The sequence below is a fragment of the Homo sapiens genome, chromosome 1 (genome assembly GCF_000001405.40).
Source record: "Homo sapiens chromosome 1, GRCh38.p14 Primary Assembly".
NCBI classification, from domain to species: domain Eukaryota; kingdom Metazoa; phylum Chordata; class Mammalia; order Primates; family Hominidae; genus Homo; species Homo sapiens.
Window position 1 is genome coordinate 57,837,681 of NC_000001.11, and position 19,259 is coordinate 57,856,939.

The 19,259-nt window shown below is 41.4% G+C and overlaps 1 protein-coding gene across 4 annotated transcripts in view, besides 1 other annotated feature; it reads right to left on the reverse strand.

Annotated features, from left to right (window-relative positions):
- DAB1 (DAB adaptor protein 1) overlaps positions 1-19,259 on the reverse strand; it is a 1,551,949-nt gene that overhangs the window by 842,903 nt on the left and 689,787 nt on the right. The gene's annotated exons all lie outside the window — the stretch shown is intronic.
- Positions 3,780-3,942: a silencer, noted in NCBI's record as "fragment chr1:58307132-58307294 (GRCh37/hg19 assembly coordinates)". NCBI's record gives its function as "represses an EF-1alpha promoter that drives an FKBP-Casp9 reporter gene in an ReSE screen in HepG2 liver carcinoma cells {active_cell/tissue: HepG2}" and the evidence as "EXISTENCE:reporter gene assay evidence [ECO:0000049][PMID:32094911]".

Below are 19,259 nucleotides of genomic sequence, written 5' to 3' on the forward strand. Positions count from 1 at the left end.
TTGCTGTGATTTCCCCCATACACACATGCTTGATTCATCTTTCTTGCATTTAATACTTGAGCAGTCTTATCTGTTATCACCACCATCCCTACCACCTCCACCACCTTCACCACCCCCACCTCCACCCCCATCTCCACCACTACCTCCGCCCCCACCACCATTACTACCACCATCTCCACCATTTCCGCTCCCAACTCCATCCCCCACCACCTCCACTGCTTCCATCCTTAATATCATTATCACTTCCATCACCCCAATCCCCAGTATCAGCAACTATCTCCATACTACTGCCACCATCATTTCCCCCCACTGTTACCACCAGTGGATATTTACCTAGTGTTTACTCTGCTATAGGCACTCTGCTAAGCCTCTCTATATTTTGTCACATATCTGGGTTTGAACTAAGGCACTGTGACTCCAGAATCCAGACTCTTAAGTATTATTCCCTTTTTCTATCACTTGGAGCTCTCTGAATGTTCTAGGCCGCCTTATCCCTGTGCCCATGGAATATCACAGACTTATAAAATGACGCTTTTCAAAAAACATGCAATAATATCAAATAATGGTGTTTTCAAAAAGTTAGGCTATTGAGAAGTCATAAATATAATCCCAATATTTTGTTACATTTACATGGAAAAAAATTCTTAAAGAAAATGCAACAGAAAGTTGAGAATGATTTATTTGGGTGGCATAAATATGGGTAATTCTAATTTTCATCTTGAGTTTTAAAAAATATAGTTTAAATTTAGGTAATGAATATATATTATGTATAAGAACAGAAAAAAAAACTGGTGTGATTGAAAGATGTGGAAAGTATAGAAATATATTCTTCCAAAGTGTTGCAAAGAAAAAAATCCCTCTTCTGTGTCCCATAATGGGTTCATAAAAGAAATATAATATGATTTGGTGAAAAGAGCATGGGTGTTGGAGTCTCAATAGCTGACTGTGGCTCTGCCATTAACCAACCATACCACTTCAGACCAAACACTTCATCTCTCTGTGTCTCAGGCTTCTCATTCAAAGAATGAGACAAACTGGCTCATTGCAGAGACTTACTTAGGTAAACATAACTTATTTATTTTCTTTCTTCCTTTTTTTTTTTTTTCTTTTTTTTGAGGCAGGGTCTCTCTCTGTCACCCAGGCTAGAGTGCAGTGGCACAATCATGGCTCACTGTAGCTTTGAGGTCCTGGGCTCAAGCAATTCTCCTGCCTCAACCTCCCAAGTAGCTGGGACTATAGGAGCATGCTAACATGCTCAGCTAATGTATTTATTTATTTATTGTAAAGATGGGGTCTCACTATGTTGTTCAGGCTGTTCTCAAACTCCTAGCTTCATGTGATCCTCCCATCTAGGCCTCCCAAAGTTGTAGGATTACACGCATGAGCCACTGCACCCAGCCAAATTCTTTCTCTTAAGCCCCAGCCCTTCTTTTCAAGATTGTCTGGAGGATTTCTCTAGTAATTCCCCTAAATGCAAACCAAGCACTAGAAACCTTAGGCCTAGAAAATGAATCGGTTAAAAAAATAAATAAATAACCACCCATCTAAGTGAGTGACTCAGGCCTCAGACTCCTGCTCCATCCTTTAAAAAATGGAAATGAAACCCAGCATTTCACTAAGTGACTTTGACAGTTCTCAGCCATGATGCCAGGGAAAGAGTTCATTGTCTGTGCCAACATTCCTGATGACATGAAGTGCCCCAGATCTCTCCTATTCTTCTCTGATTTTTCACCTCCATTGATGGATACTTGGAACAACTGTATTTATAATTAGTATTTTTTGTCATTTAAAGTTCACCAGATTTGTAGTCAATTATTGGCTAAAAAACATTTATTATTTGCAATATATTATTAGTTTATTATGGCTCATTGCCCTAAAATACTTCGTTTAATCCTTTGCAGGTCCTTAAACACAAATATGGCAGCTATTAGCAACCTCTTCAGTCAGGCATAAAATTGTACCCAGAGGCCTCATAAACAATACAGTGCTTTGCAAAGATTAAATCAGTGTACACAGCTGTGAAGGAGGCCATTAGGAAATGCATTATCATTCTGTTTTACTGTTACTTTGTGTGCTACTCTGCTCTTGTCAATCCATCAGCTAGCCCTGCCTCTGCCCTGTAAGTGGAAAAGGTTTTGCATTTTACCAGGCAAGAGACAGCCACTGGGAAAAGTAAGATCCCAGCCTTTCTGTGTAAGGTTAAGGGGACTTGGGTGTCATTGTGCAGGGTGAGCTTGGAAAAAGTCAGTGTCACAGTGCTTACCTCTTTCAATAAGAGACAGGCATGGAGGGAGCCTTCCATGTGACAAGACTTCCTGGAAGAGGCTAATTTCATATAAAATTGTTTTATTGTTGGCCTTTGAGTCTTTATTCAAAATTCTGCCTCCAGAAAGAGGAGAAATAGGAGACTGTTATTGATAAAACACCTGTTATGCCATGGGCTTTCTCTGATAGGCATTTATTTAGTCAACAGGATGCATTTTGTGGGTGATGCTGAAGCCACATAGAAATGTTAGAAGGGAGCTCAGTGTCTGGTGGGAGAGGTAAACAATTAAGGTATATCTAATACTATGTAATCAGTGTAAGGCTTCCTAGCAGAAGGAATATCTGAGCTAAAGCTAAAAGGATATAGAAAAAGTATAAGCAACAAGAGCTATGGGGAGTCATGGAGATGGGACAGAGTGTATTCCAGACTGTGAGATCAGCATATCCAAAGGCATAGAAGTGTGAAAAAAGAGGGTACTGATGCTCCTGAACTTAGGATATATGTTGAAAATATAATAAGTCAAAAATGCATTTAATATATCTAACCAGGGTATTAGTCAATTTTCACACTGCCATAAAGAACTACTTGAGACTGGGTAATTTATGAAAAAAAAAGAAGTTTAATTGACTCACAGTTCCACATGGCTGGGAAGGCCTCAGAAAACTTATAATCATGGTGGAAGGCAGAGGGGAAGCAAGAACCTTCTTAACATGGCAGCAGGAGAGAGAGTGAGCAAGGGGGGCAAGTGCCACACTTTAAAACCATCAGATCTCATGAGAACTCACTATCATGTGAATAGCATGGGGAAAATCCACCCCCATGATCCAATCACCTCCCACCAGGTCCCTCCCTCCACACATGAAATTACAGTTCAAGATGATTTTTGGGTGGGGACACAGAACCAAACCATATCATTCCACCCTGGCCCCTCCTAAATCTCATGTCCTTCTCACATTTAAAAACCAATCATGCCTTCCCAACAGTCCCTCAAAGTCTTAACTCATTCCAGCATTAACTCAAAAGTCCAAGTCCAAAGTCTCATCTGAGACAAGGCAAGTTCCTTCTGCCTATGAGCCTGTAAAATCAAAAGCAAGTTAGTTACTTCCAAGATACAATGGGGGTACAGGAATTGGGTAGATGGGAGAAACTGGCCAAAACAAATGGGCTACAGGCCCCATGCAAGTCCAAAACCCAACAGGGTAGTCATTAAATCTTAAAGGTCCAAAATAATCTCCTTTGACCCCATGTCTCACATCCAAGACACACTGATGCAAGAAGTAGGTTCCCATGGCCTTGGACACCTCTGCCTCTGTGACTCTGCAGGGTCAACTCCTGCAGCTGCTTTCATGGGCTGGCATTGAGTGCCTGTGGCTTTTCCATATGCATAGTAAAAGCTGTTGGTGGATCTACCAGTCTGGGGTCTGGAGGATGATGGCCGTCTTCTCACAGCTCCACTAGGCAGTGCCCCAGTGAGGACTCTGTGTGGTGCTCCAATCCCACATTTCCCCTCTGCATTACCCTAGTAGAAGTTCTTCATGAGGGCTCCACCCCTGCAGCAGACTTCTGCCTGGACATCTTGAGGCAAAGGCTCCTAAAGCTCAACTCTTGTCTTCTGCACACCTGCAGGCCTAACACCACATGGAAGCCACCAAGGCTTGGGGCTTGCACCCTCTGAATCAATGGCCTGAGCTGTACCTTGGCCCCTTTTAGCCACAGCTGGAGCTGGAGTGGCTGGAATGCAGGGTGCCACATCTCGAGGCTGCATGGAGCAGCGGAGCCCTGGGCCTGGTCCCCAAAACCATTTTTCCCTCCTAGGCCTCTGGGTTTGTGATGTGAGGGGATGCTGTGAAGATCTCTGAAATGGGGCTGCTGTGAAGATCTCTGAAATGCCTTGGTGGCATTTTCCTCATTGTCTTGGCAATTAACATTTGGCTCCTTGTTACTTATGTAAATTTCTGCAGGCAGCTTGAATTTCTCCCTAGAAAATGGGTTTTTCTTTTCTACTGCATGGTCAGGCTAGAAATTTTCCAAACCTTTATGCTCTGCTTCCTTTTTAAACGTAAGTTCCAATTTTGGACCAATTCTTTGTGAACACATATGGGTGTGTGCTGTTAAGAGCACCTAAGCTACATCTTGAACACTTTGCTGCTTAGCAATTTCTTCCACCAGATACCCTAAATCATCTCTCTCAAGTTCAAAGTTCCATAGAGCTCTAGGGCAGGGAAAAATGCTGCAAGTCTGTTTGCTAATGCATAGCAAGAGTTATCTTTACTCCAGTTCCCAGTAAGTTCTTCATCTCCATCTAAAACCACCTCAGCCTGGACTTCATTATCCATACCACTATCAGCATTTTGGTCAAAACCAATCAACGAGTCTCTAGGAAGTTCCAAACATTCCCATATCTTCCTCTCTTTGAGCCCTCCAAACTGTTGCAACCTCTGTCCGTTACCTAGTTCAAAAGTCACTTCCACATTTTCAAGTATCTTTATAGCAATGCCCCACTTCTCTCAGTACCAATTTTCTATACTAGTCCATTTTTACACTGCTACAAAGAAACTACCTGAGACTGGGTAATTTATGAATGAAAAAAAAAGTCTAATTGGCTCACAGTTCTGAATGGCTGGGGAGGCCTCAGGAAACTTACAATCATGGCAGAAGGCAAAGGTAAGGCAAGAACCTTCTTCACATGGTGGCAGGAAAGAGGGCAAGCAAGGGGGGGATGTGCCATACTTTAAAACCATCAGATCTTGTTAGAACTCACTCACTGTCATAAGAACAGCATGGGAGAAATCCACTGGCATGATCCAATCACCTCCCACCAGGTCCTTTCCTCCACATGTGAGGATTACAATTCTAGATGAGATTTGGGTGGGGACACAGAGCCAAACCATATCACTTAGTGTACCTTAAGTGTGCTCAGAACATTTATATTAGTGTACAGTTGGGCAAAATCCTCTAACTCAAAGTCTATTTATAATCAAGTGTTGAATATCTTATGTGATATGTTGAATACAGTATATTATAGAGCACAGTATGGGTTGTCTGTCCTAGTGACTGCCTGGTTGACTGGGAGCTGCAGCTCACTGCCACTGCCCAGCATCATAAGAGAGTATCATACCACATATCACTAGAATGAAAAAAGATAAACATTTAAAACTCAAAGTGTGGTTTCTACTGAATGTGTATCACTTTTGCACCATCATAAAGTCTAAAAATCATAAGTTGAACCCTGTAAGTCAGGGACCATTCACATCTTATTTCACCAAGTCCTCCCAGCATCCATTTACAGAATAAAAGGTTTTTTCTTTTGTCTACCCTTGACTGTGTGCACCTTGCATGGTTCTTTGAAGGCAAACATAACACAATAGCAAGAATGTAGGTTTTAGATTTATGCTCAGTCAAGTTTGAATTCTTCTTTGGTTATTATCTAGTTGGGTGATTCTGGACAAGTCACTTCTCTGAGCTTCAGTTTCCTATCTGCAAAATGGGACTAATGATACCCACCTCAAGGGGTTACCATGAGACTTATGGGAAATAACATATCAAAAGCACCTGCTATATTATCTGGTCACAGAGTAGGGATTCAATATTTGCTGGTTTCCTTCCTTCTATTCTTAGACATCAGCCAAAATTTGTCTTTTCCAGGAAGCCTTCCCAGATTCACCAATTTAGAAGTTACCTAAGGTTAGGGACATATCCTATGTTGAAATTTTCCCAAAAAACTTTGAATACAGAAGGCTTTGGAGAAATACCAGCTGAAATGAATTACCCTGGCTTTCCCCCATGCACAGCTAGGAGCTTCCCCTATGTACCTTCAGGCTCTTTTCCTCCAACAGCTGCACACCTGGGCTCTGGGATCTCTTTTCCTTTGCTTTCTCTTAGAAGGCTGTAGGAAGAAACAAGCAGGAACAGCAATACTTGACCTCTTTGGAAACATTTGCTCAGGATGTGGTATATAGAAAGAAGCAAGAATTTGACCAGGTTTGACCCATTCTGGAAGTTCTCTAGCCTAATGACTCACTGTAAAATCTGTGCCTGATGTTCCAGCCACAATTACTTTCTGGCTGTTCCCTGAACACACTATCTCTTTTCAATCTTACATAACTTGGCATTTGCCATGCCATATTCCAGGAATGGTCCTGACTTTGTCTACCACAGTAAAACTCCTCATCCCTTAAGACCCAAAATCTTCTTTTGTAATTCCTGCAGGGAGGATTACTCAGCCTACCTGATATCCCTCAGACCAGCATTCATACTTTTATGTTATTTCTAACACACTGAAATAACGGATTCATGTATCTGTTTCCCTTAGTATATTATGATGGGTTGCAGGACAGCAGCCCTGCTTTTTCCTCTTTTTATTATCAGTATTTAGAATAAAGTATGATGTATAGTAAACCTATATGCATGAATGAATATGAATCTTATCCAGAAGAATTCCTTTAAGAGACTCAGACATATTGAGACCAGCAAGGCATTTGGCAGGGGCTGCAGTGTAAATGGCAGCTGCCTCAAGAAGAAATCATTACAGAATTTTCTAACCCCTTCCTTTCTGAAGATTGGGTCCAGAGAAGCAGGAAGACGTCTGCCAGAGTGATTCACAATGGGTTTTCCCTCAGTTCTGCCCACCATATCACTTATCCCATATTCCCATATGAGCTGGTTATTTTCTCTCTGGTACCTTCTCTGCCCTGCTCTAAGTTCTACGGACAGCTTCATGGGGCTCCATTGCATTCTTGTTCCTGGCTGGGTTCTGTCAAAGGGAAGCTCAGAGAGGTCAAGGGACAGGAAGAGAGAGATACTGGGGCCCTTCTTTACTCCCTTCCTGACTTAGTGCCCCTTCTTCAGGCTGTATACATCTAGGAATGTAGGTCCCTGGCAGCCCTTCCTTCATAGCTCTGACTCCCACCTGCCCAGGTAACAGTTACCCATCCCCTCCACCCCCGCCAGCTCCTTCAGCCTTGGAAATGGCAATAGCTTCCCACTATTGACAGCCTTGGGTGCTTTACCACCCCTTACTTGATGCTTCAACCCTGTTTAGAGTTAGGGGTACTTTCATTAAAGTAACTTCCCAGAACCATCTGAGATTAATTCTGCTTCCTGACAGGGCCCTGGTTGGTATATCTTCCCATAGATAGCATCAGGCAAGAGCTACTCTTCTCTTCCCAGTCTCATTCATGATATGGCCCTTAGAAAACCTCTAAGTTAAATCTGAATGAGGAATCCACTTACATGTGAGGCTGTGCGAGGGAGGAAGTGTCCCTGTGATGAGCAATGCTTTGGAGAAGTGGTCTGACAACATTCACAATCTGATGATTAAACTGTGAAGTGTTTAATTTTGTACTGCATGTTGGGGCTGGTTTGGGGGTTGGCAGGGATAGGATAGAGAGACAGGAGGGAGGTAAAGGAGAAAGAATTATGGGGAAAAAGTGAACTGATGGATTTTTCAGTCTTGTATCCAATTTCTGGTAGTCTTGCAGATATGATCCTCTAACTGTTGTGGTAGACAGCACAGTCAAGTGGAAAGAGAATGAATTCTCCATAAAATAGAGATTTGCGTTTAAGCCAGACTAGGTCACATCCTAGCTATTGTTCAGCTTGGGCAAGTGACAACCTTTTGGAAACTCAGTTTTTGATATCTGTATAATGGGGGATAATAAGCTTCCTTATACATTAAAGAAAAGTACACGACATTAAAGAATGTGAGAGACCCTGCCACAGTGTCCCAGACAGAGGAAGAGCCCTATAAAAGGTCATTCTCTCTTCTCTGATTCTGATTGATGAATATATGTCAAATGATTAAATGAATAAATCCTCTTTCAAAAACCCTTTTGATATATCTTAAGTTGAGCTAAAATCTGCCTTCCTATAACTTTTACCCATTGTACTTAGCCCTGCCATCTAAAGCCAAACACAGTAAATCAACTCACCCTTCTAAATGAAAACCCTTCAAATATTCCTGTTTAATAAATGGAATAAATACACTCCACTTTAATAAATTTGCCCTAGGCCCATGGGCCTTTGCAAGGAAGGCCAATATAAATGAAGATGCTGTCTGCACACGAAATGCTTTGTGGATCACATGACTGCCACTCTGCCCCAGAGACAGAGGGAAGAGTGTGGGGGAGGGTTATTGAAAATGAGCCGGTAGTAGTGGTCAGAAATATAAGCTTTAGTCTTCCTAAAGCAAATCATTTCAGAACTTGGTTTTTTTAATTAAAAATTCAATGTGGCCAGGCATGGTGGCTCAAGCCTGTAATCCCAGCACTTTGGGAGGCCGAGGTGGGCAGATCACGAGGTCAGGAGATCGAGACCATCCTGGCTAACATGGTGAAACCCCATCTCACTAAAAATACAAAAAATTAGCTGAGCGTGGTGGCAGGCACCTGTAGTCCCATGTACTCAGGAGGCTGAGGCAGGAGAATGGTGTGAACCCGGGAGGCAGAGCTTGCAGTAAGCCGAGATTGTGCCACTGCACTCCAGCCTGGGCGACAGAGCAAGACTCCATCAAAAAAAAAAAAAAAAAAAAATCAATGCTTCCTCTCCTCCCTCCTGTATTTCTTCCCTCCTTTGTTCACTTATTAAAAATACATTGAAAGCCTACTCTGTGCTGTTTACTCTGCTAAGGTCTTTCCATGTTGATTTCATTATTTTATTCAGTCCTTACTCTGAGGGAGACACATTACTGTTCCCATTGTACCAATGAGAAAACTTTGATTTCATGTCAGTTTTTTTTTCCAGGGCATCTAGAACTACAAGTAACAAAACTGGAACTCAAAGCCAGTCAGGTTTGTCCAGTGAGTTCTACTGCATAATTCTATCTATGGAAGAATGGCACAGTAAGAGAACGAAACACATACACGTGCACGTGCGTGCACACACACACACAGACACGCAAACAATCTGCATTAGGTCCTGAAGAGTTTTTCCAGGCAAAAAGGAGACAGTCTGGACCACAATATGGAGATGCCTACTTAAGAATCTGTCTGGTTTGGGAAATGGTTGGTAGTGTGACATGCCTGAAGCACATGGTACTTAACTAAGTCTTGTAGGAGATGGGGCTAGATAAGCAGACTGGGACCCACTTGTGAAGCACAGAAATATGATGCAGAGCTGCAGAGCTTGGGCTTTATACAGCTGTGATAAGGTGGCTCAGGGAACAGCCATCACTATTCCTCTGAGGTTTAAGACCGATTTTATTGACTTCCATGCTCAGTGGCCTGGCTGCCTACCTACCATTACACTTCTGTCACTATATAAGCTCAGGGATGATTTTTTTAGTTCTACCCAGGACTAGCTAAAAACAGACATTCAGCTTTTAAATCACAGGAGGAAAAAAAAAAACTACAAAGATAAGATAGCCTAGATAGAAGAAAAAAAAGGAAAACAAAGGAAGTCCCAAGAAAGCATAAAGAAGAGAAAGCATAAAACAAAAAGACAGGAATAAGACCAAACATATCAGTTATGACAGTAAATATAAATGGTTTAAGTTCTTCTAATAAAAAATAAAGTCTTTCAGATTGGGTTAAAAGCAAAACTCAACCATATGCTGCTTACAAAAGACAAACGGTAAAAGAAAAATGAGAGAGAAAAGGGGAATTGGTGAAAGCTAGGCAAATATTTATCAAGTATACAAAACAAACAAAAAGAAAGCAGTGATTGGGAACATTTCAAAGTAGAATTCAGGGTAAAAGCATTATATGAGACCAAGAAGGTTATTTTTATATTGATAGAAACAATAAGAAATGAGCTGTTACATAATGTCAAAATATATAAAGAAAAACTCTTAGAAATGTAAAGAGATCATGATAGAAATAACCTTCTTGATATTGAATGAACAATAAAAAGACAAAAATAGAATACTATTATTAGTAAGTTATGTATATATCTTTTAAAAATTACTAAAAGCTATATTAATTGAGTGCTTACAATGCTCCAGGCATTGTTCTAAATATTTACTATTGCCTCATTTAATGTTGGAGAAAGGCTATTACAAAGTAGGAGATTATTATCCCTGTATTAAAGATAAGAAAACTGAAGAACAAGGAGGCTAACTGATTTTCCTGAGATTTTAAAACAGTTGCACTGTCACTGTAAGAGTAAGCCTGGTTTGAAACTAAGGCAGGGATCCCCAGAGCCTGCCCCTTTCAAGTATTATGTTAAACAACCTTAAAGAAAGAATGCATATCCTTTCAAGACATGTATTCTAAAACATTGACCATCCAAAGTGATCATATAGGATACAAAGAAAACTTCAAAAGAACCAGAATAGACAAAAGGTGTAGTCTATAAGTTCCGAACACAATGTAGTGAATCTAGACACTAATGATATCTAAACCTAACCAAGATAGCACACATGTGCACATGCACACTCATGAACACACACCATGTAAACCAATCATAAAAATGAGATACTACAATTCTAAATCAAATATATGAAAACCTATTTTATCCTTTATTTAAAGAATTATCATGATCAACTGGGATTTATCCTGGACTACACAGGTAAATATAGTAATGTAATATAATACTTATCAGTAACTCAAAGGAGAAAACCACTTGGACATCTTGATGGATCACTTCTACTGAGTCACAGCCTTGTGAAGTTGGGGACAGGGATGGTTGTGTTAAGAAGAGGTCTAGGCCAGACAGAAGTAGCTGTTATATCACATGAGTTACCAAGAGCAATGACTCAAACACAAGCAATGATGCAGAAGTGATCAGGAATGTCCAAGCCAAACCAGGAGCAAAATAACCTAAGGTTGAAGAAACCTAAGTTGATTCTGAACTGCCCCAAATCCAGGTTAGTCTAGAGCTGGAGCTGAAGCTGCATGTGGTGGTCATGGGCAGGAGGGTGGTAGGTGAGTGTTTAGTAATGGGGAGCAGCTACATGATTCCTATTTTTCAAAGGGGGTGCTGATGAGATTAGACACTTAACAGGGCCTGGAATTCCCGTCACTCCAGGATGTAATCCTCACATCTGAAAGAAGAAAATGCTACATCAAGATTGAAGGTCATGTCTTACGATATTTGTGGAAAGGTAAATATTATTTCAAGGGAATTTTTAAAACAAGTCTTCTGTTTCTGTAATATTCCAAGTGTGGGCTGCTGTTCTCTTGAAAATGTGCCTCTCTTGCAGCTGAAACTTGGGACAGGATGCTTGAGACAGGGGAAATTACATTTCTCCAAGGTGTTCATTCTCTGAAATACCAGCCCTGGAGCACTATGTCCCCAGGAATGTTCACAAAAGGTCAGCAGAAGCACCAGAAGGGCCAGAGTAGCACTGAGTCAGGTATGAGGTCCTCACTGCTACACCAAATGCATGAAGAAGGTGCTGCCCTGTCTGCTCCTTGGCCTCTATCTCTGCCTGCCTTTCTTATTCTCCATCTGGATCTTTCAGCCTCTCCTTATTGCTCACAGTAACTCCATATCAAGACCCTGGTAAATGAAAATACAAACTAGGAAGTGAGAAATCTAACAAAATAAAGCAAAGAGAGAGGCCATTGTCTAATGAAGGCTCTCCAGTCCTTGAGAATTTCAGAATTTCAGATCCAATAGGATCTGGCAGTTGAAGGCGTGATTCACAGAGTCTCAGGATGCAGGAGGCAAGGAGAACTTGAGAAACTTTCCCACTTTTAGAAAAGAAATGATCCTCTCTAGGGACAGGGCTTGAGGCATTAAGGAGCAGGTTGAGACCCAGGTTAATGGACTTCCTAGCCTAGCATGTGCAGCATTTTTAAAACCATGTTTATCTTTCCCAGTTAAAAATAATATATCCTTTGTGGACAGTTTGAAAAATCCCAGCAATGCCCAGAATTAACATCTGAACACATTTTGGCTTTTTTCCTGACAGTAATTTCTTTTCCCTTTGTATAGAGATGTGTATGTATGTGTATGCACATAATTATAAAAATAAAATGGGAAGCATAATTCAAGTTTTGTATCCTGGTTTATTTTTATCATTAGTCCATTGTCACAGATGTGTAAGGGAGAGATTTTATGTGGGAAGTGACCCTCGATAGTCCTGAGAAAGTGAGATACAGACAGCAAGGTTGACATTGGACTCAACAGCTAGGTCTCTGTTGACATAGGTGGGGATACCTGGCTTGGACAGGAAAAAATGGGAGGGGAGGAAGTGGAGACAGTGCCTCTGGACAGTAACTCAAGAAGCTGCTCTGAAGAGAAGGAGAGAACCAGGACAGAGGGGCTGAGGGTCTTACAGCAGAAACCTTTAATGGAAAGAATGTAGGCTTGGAACAAAGCCTTCAGATTTGCACCTCAGCTCAACAATTTACAAATCATAGGACCTCACACAAACATAAGGTAAGGATTAATCAGTACCAAAGTGGCTTAGTGCCTTTCTACCTTCACATTAGATTTGATCTGTACTCTGACCAGTAAAGAAAGCGAGGCTCAGAGATGCAAAGCAATTTGCCCAAGGACACGCTGTAAAAAGGCGCAGAGGTGAGATTTAATTTCAGGATTGTGTAACTTCAGATAATGTAGTTTTTTTTTTTTTTTTAACTGAGAAAATGAAACCATTTATTATATAACTTGATAGCTTACATAATTAGTGCCTAAGAAATAAAATACAAGACACACCTCATAGGGGAAATCCTTTACTCCTGATCATTAGTCGCTGTGGCTCCCCTCCCATGTCCTGTGGAGTGGCCTGTGGGCTCTGGAGGGAGCCCCAAGGCCTGGCCTGCAAGTGCCGGGCTGGACCCCTTCCATCTTATGTGACGGCACATTCAATGTGATACACTCTGACACTCAAATGCCTGCCTCCCCCTCTGTATCTCACATAATCTTGCCTTCCAACATCATTTTTTTCCCATTTGACTGAGTGGTCTGACCTAAAACAGCTGTGCGTGACTTGAAATTTAAGCATTCCTCTTTCAACTCTCTGATAAGAATCTTTCCCCTTTAATAATGCTCTCAGTGGCTCCTCGCCCATTCCTTTTCATTTCTGCTAGGTGCTTTTAAGTTCAGTTTTCCTTCCACCCCCTGCAAGCCCCCCAAGGCTTAGCTTCAGAGACAAGGCTCTCTCAAGACCCAATCAATTCCAACATTCAGTTAAGCTAATTAATTTCAGGTTGCCATCAATATATTTCTTAATTATGGTTTAAACATAGGTAAAACCTAGAATTGTTCGTCAACAGCCCTCAGCCTCAGCTGAATGCTAGCATCTACCATTAAGAATTCCCATGGGTCAAATCGAGGGTCTGACAATAGTTACAAAGACCACATGTGTATTTGCATAGGATTTGCATATATCTACATAGGTTAGTCTCTTTGCAGTAGATTTCCAATTAAAATGTTATTATTTTGGCCTTGAAGTTGTTGTTTCCTGATTCTTGGTCTGTAGTACCATTAGCAACACCTGTTCACTTTGACGTTGATTTCTGCCTAGAGGACAATAGGACAATGAAGACAAAGGACACAAACCAGCAGTGAAAGCCCCAAATACTAGAGCACACTAGAGCACACCTCTGAGGTGGGCTGATTCTAGCAGTTGAGAGGTTTTGTCTGGCGGAGAGAAGACCTCAGGCTATCTGAGGAGTCTTGGCATAGCTGCAGGGCTGCTGAGCAGAAGAGTACTGGGATTGTACTGGATGGCTGGGCGGGTTTCCACATCTCCTTCCCTACTCCCCTCTGCCTTTGCTCCTGCAAGAAGCATTTCTATTCTTCCTATGTGACATTTTGCCTGCAAAACATAGATATTAGAAGAGTCTTTCTGAAGATCTGGGCATTTCATTCTCTGGCTTCTGATGTTCTCCCAGTGCTGGTGGTGTGAAAGCTCCAATCCCTCATGACATGCAAGTTCCTTCATGACAGTAGCTTATGTTTCTCTGGTTGTATCTCTTGATTTCACTTTGCATCCTAGGTTCCTGCTCCCTTTGGCCATCAGAATGCATTTTGCCCTGTCATTCACAAATGGCTAACTCCTATGTTGTCTCCTACTCTGAGGAGTCTTTCCTAATTGCCTCTCCCCACCTCTTTGCTCCCTTGGGGCTTAGAACACAATACCCCAAAGCATAGTGCCTTGGCGTGCTGAGCACTTCAAACTGAAGGAGACTGAGGGGGTCTCAGGCACAAGGTCCTTCTGACCTTCCCTGGCCCTCCTGTCCCTTCCTCTTCTTTCTCCCCTGAGATGGGTCACATAAATTAGAATTTCTCTCCCAAAGCATGAAACCTAGAAGGGTCATTCCCTAACCTTTTCCCTTTTCCCCTGAAGATCCTCATGTGATAGGTGTCCTGCCCTGTTCCCTGGGGGAAAGGAATGCCACACAGAGAGGCCAAGAAGAACTTGGACAAACAGGCCTTGCTTGGTTCTCCCTCAGTTTATTAACATTTTTCATACCCTTTTTTGTCCAGGCACATTTTTACATGACTGTCTATTCTTCATAGCACCTAAGTATGAAAGTACAAAAGCTTTCCTACATTCTAAACACTCATCTGTATTTCCACAGCTCCACATATTTCTCACCTTCCTCTGCTGGGAAAATTCAGGAGGAATCCTAGGAGCTCTGGGATGCAGAGAGAACCATCCGTGGTGAATGCCCACATCACCACTGGCAGAAGAACAGAGATGGCCAACCATGGACCTCACTTCTACCCTCCTCATCACCCCACATCTCACCACTGCCATCTTGCTTGAGGCCCTCAGGAATAATGTGACACACATTGATAAGCCCAGGAATCCAGGTCAACCCTCAGTCCCAGATTTTAATCACTACATGGCTCTATGGGCAATGAGGTAACCCTACCTCTCCTCCTGCCCCAGCATCCATCCCTGCTTTATGTTTCTCATTTACATTTATTATTATCTGTCACACTTACACTTATTATTTATTTTTCTATCATTCTATCTCCCTCCTGCAGAATGGAAACTCTATGAGGGTAGAGAATACTGACTGTTTTGTTTGTGACAGCAGTATCCTCAGGGACCTAGAAAGGTGATTGACACATAATTTGTGCTCAATAGATATCTGTTGAATGAGTGAATTCTAATATTTTCTACACTATACTAAGTGTGATAATTAACTGTTGGAGGGCTGGGACCACAGTTTATCCTTTTTTTGTCAAATATAGTTAAAAATGTATAATTAATTATAATGTTTTTGTCACATAGGGTTAAAAATAACATATAATTAATTACAATCTGTTTCTTCCCACCCATTCTAAGAAGGGCAGGCCATGAGGAAGAACTTCTGTGTGGTTAGGATGATGCATTAAGTAGAAGCTTAGAAAAGGGTTATTAGATCAAAATACATAAGAAAGGGTTTGGGGCTATCTTTAAAAAAAAAAAAAGCCATTTGGGAGAAGAATGAACAGGGAAAGAAAGGTAGAGAACCAGGTGGCTAACAGGAGAAGGTAGTTAGCTAAGTTGGTGATATACTGAAGAGGTCCAAGAGGCTCAATATTTGGAAATCACATTTTAAGAAATTTTTGCTGTATATTTTGTGATGTGATTCTCCCTTTCCTCAAGAAAACCTTCAGTATAAATCTACATTGATCTTCAGTGATTGACACCATAAGAAGAAATGCATTTAAAATGAAAAAGAAAGGTATATGGTAAGAGTGAAGCTTTAGGCAGGACCCAGAATCGATGCTCAACATGTGTTTAAAATTAATAAAATGAACGAATAAATGAATTAATGAATAAGTGAACTAAAATCAATGGATCAATTTTGTCTCAATATGAAACATTTCTTAAAGTTCCAAATTGTCCAGAACTAGAATGAGTTGTTCCCTTTACTGATTTTTTTCCCCAAGAAGCAACAAGATAATAACCTCATCAAAAATCCTGTAGAAAAAAATATGTCTGCAACAGGAATGGTGTTGGGCCAGATGAATGGTACCCAGACTGTGTTACAAGAGGTGAGAAGGTTCTGGTTGTCACATTTCAAAGTTTATTTTCTGGGTTGAGGGAGGGCCCAGAATACAGGCTTCTGAGACCTCCGCATCTGTTTTTACCAGAGCAGCTCTGTTTTTGCTTGTATTACACATCTATTCATTCATTATTTCATTTATTTATTAATTCATCATTCAACACATATATAGAGTAAATATTAAATGCCTCTATGCTGCAAATACTGCACTGTTTCTACAAAAATAGACTGTTCTTTTGAAGTAGTTTTTAAGTTAAAAAAATTTAAATGATACTGGAACTCTTAAGACTTTAAGACTGTGACACTTCCACAAATTGAGTAAATAATTATTACTCAGTGTACTACTGTGTCTAAAAATTAAGGGTAATTACACTTTCTTGACTTTTTTCTTTTCATTTTAGCTCAGATGAATAAATACTACAGCCTTGCTAAAACAGAAAAACAGTATATTTCAGAATGAATGAGCATGAGAAGAGGAATGGGATGTCTTCAAGGTCTCATTACTGGGCCTATGGGTCTGTTTCTGCAGAAAGGGGGAGTGTGAATGTCACCATTGTGAGAGGAAGAGCCCAACATGGGAAGGGGGTGAGACTTGCATTCATCAAATCTCTAAGTAACACACTTTTTGAATGATCCTCCATTCTAATCTTCATAACAACCCTGAGGAAGATCGTTTACAGATGATAAAACAGAGGGTCCCAGTCAGTAAGCAATTTGTCCAAGATCATGAACACGATAATCTTGGATTTGAGCCCAAGTCTGTGCTGCCAATGCCCTTCTCTTTCCACCACACTTGGGAATAGTCAGATGCTTGCAAGCTGGTGGTCTGGTTGCTTCTCAATCTCTAATATGCAGACTAAACTTGGCACAGGAGTGAATGTGCTGAGCTCCATTAATGGGTGAGAGCAGATTTATGTGTTGGGAGATGTGGGGAAGATTTGGCTAAGGCGGTTATGATGCCAGAGACAGGGAATTTAAAACAAGGACACCCTGAAAAGGGCCTTTTATGTGACTTCTTCATGTGGGTTAATTCTGCTTGAACCTTAGATACAAATCTCCAAAGACAAGAGTAAATGAAAGAAAAATTAATAACTTATCAACTCATTGTAAAATGAAATGGTCACTAGGTTTTCCGTAGTTTTTCTTTTCTTTTCTTTTTAACTCACAGGAATAAATATCCTGGCCTTGCTAACACAGAAGGACAGTGTATTTCAGAATGAATGAGCTTGAGAAAAGGGACAGCAGGAGACTGGATTTTGATTGATTTCTCATCTGAAAGAAAGAAGGCTGTGAGGACATCTATGAGTGCACAGCAACTTCTGCAGGGCTGGAGGAAGCTGAGGGGGAGGGGTGCAGTGAGGTAGTGGTAGCAAGAAGTAACCAATTCTCAACTCAACACATGATGCTTGGTGTTTTCCAAATATGATCTTATTTAATCCTCATTCATTTACTCATTCAAAAAATACTTGTTGAGTGCCCACCCTAGGCCATATCCCCCTGAGGACATAGAAGTGAACAAAGCTGACAACGTCCCTGCCCCCATGGAGCTGGCATTCTAGGTAAGGATCATTTCATACACAAATTAATAAACAACTCTAATAATGGATGGTAAAGATAGATGTGATGAAGAGCACTAAAGAAGGTGAGTTTGTAGAACATAGTGATGGTGCTTTCAGGTTGGGGTATTAGAAAAGCGGTCTTTGATATAGGGACATAGGGACAGAGACTGAAATGAAATGAAGGGTGGGCCATACCAATACCTGGGGGCAAAGAAACAGAGGAAGAGGGAAAAGGTCTTCACATCTGAGGTGGCACATTTGAAGACGAATAAGGGAATCAGTAGCTCAGAGTGAACAAGAAGAAAAGTGGTAGGTGGAAGCCAGACCATGATAGTCTTGTAGGGCCAGCACAGCACTTTGGGTTCCAAGCACAATATGGAGACCACAGGAGGTTGAGAAGGGGAGTGACATGATCTGAGTTAATTTGAAATTATTACTTTGACTGCTCTGGAGAGAACCAACTGCAGGTTGACAAGGGTGAATGAATAGAGACCTAGGAGGCTGCTGAAAAGGTCCCAGGAGGCAAGACGCTAGCTTGAATGAGAGTAGATGGGATGTGAAGAGGGAAGAATCAGAATATATTCTAATGATAGAGTTGGCAGGATTTACTGTCAGATAAATATACGATGTGAAAGAAACATAGGAGTAGAGAATAATTACCAAGACTTGGGTCTGAGCTGCTACTGCCTGGGACTTATCAGCAGAGAGTCGGTATCCACAGCCCTGGGACTGGCTGAGGCCCCTGGAGAGCCTAGAAAAGAGAAGTGTAGCTAGAAAAGAGAAGAAGCTGGGGGGTTGCTTCACAAGAGTCTGAGGAGGTGAGTAAGATCATGCCCGCCTTATAGATTAAGAAAAGTAGCCTCAGAGAAGCAGGATGCTTCTTTTCAGCCACTGTGCCTCTATTAGAGCCCTTACCATGATGGGCTGCAATCCCTGTATAGATCTGCTCCCTAAGAGAGGAAGAGCTATTCAAGGACAACAAGTATGCTGCACACAGCTTTTTATTTCTAGCATCTAGCACTTGATAATAAAAGTAGTTACTGTACATATGAAAAGTTCACATATAAAAAGTGATGATTGTGCCAGGCGCAGTGGCTCACACCTGTAATCCCAGCACTTTGGGAGGCCGAGGCGAGCAGGTCACCTTAGGTCAGGAGTTTGAGACCAGCCTGGCCAACATGATGAAACCACATCTCTACTAAAATTACAAAAAATTAGCTGGGGATGGTGGTGCGCACCTGTAATCTCAGCTACACGGGAGGCTGAGGCACGAGAATCACTTGAACCTGGGAGGTAGAGGCTGCCATGAGCCGAGATCATGCCACTGCACTCTAGCCTGGGCAGCAGAGTGAGCATCCATCTCAAAATAAATAAATAAATAATAAAAATAAATTAAAAGTAATGATTATACCTCTAACAGAAGGGTCTCAATGGGGATGTGTTCAACAGATGGCTGGACCTATGGGGATGTGAATGATACACTCAGGGTCGGAAATTATTAGCACCTAGAACAGAGCCTGGCACATATAAGATGCTCAA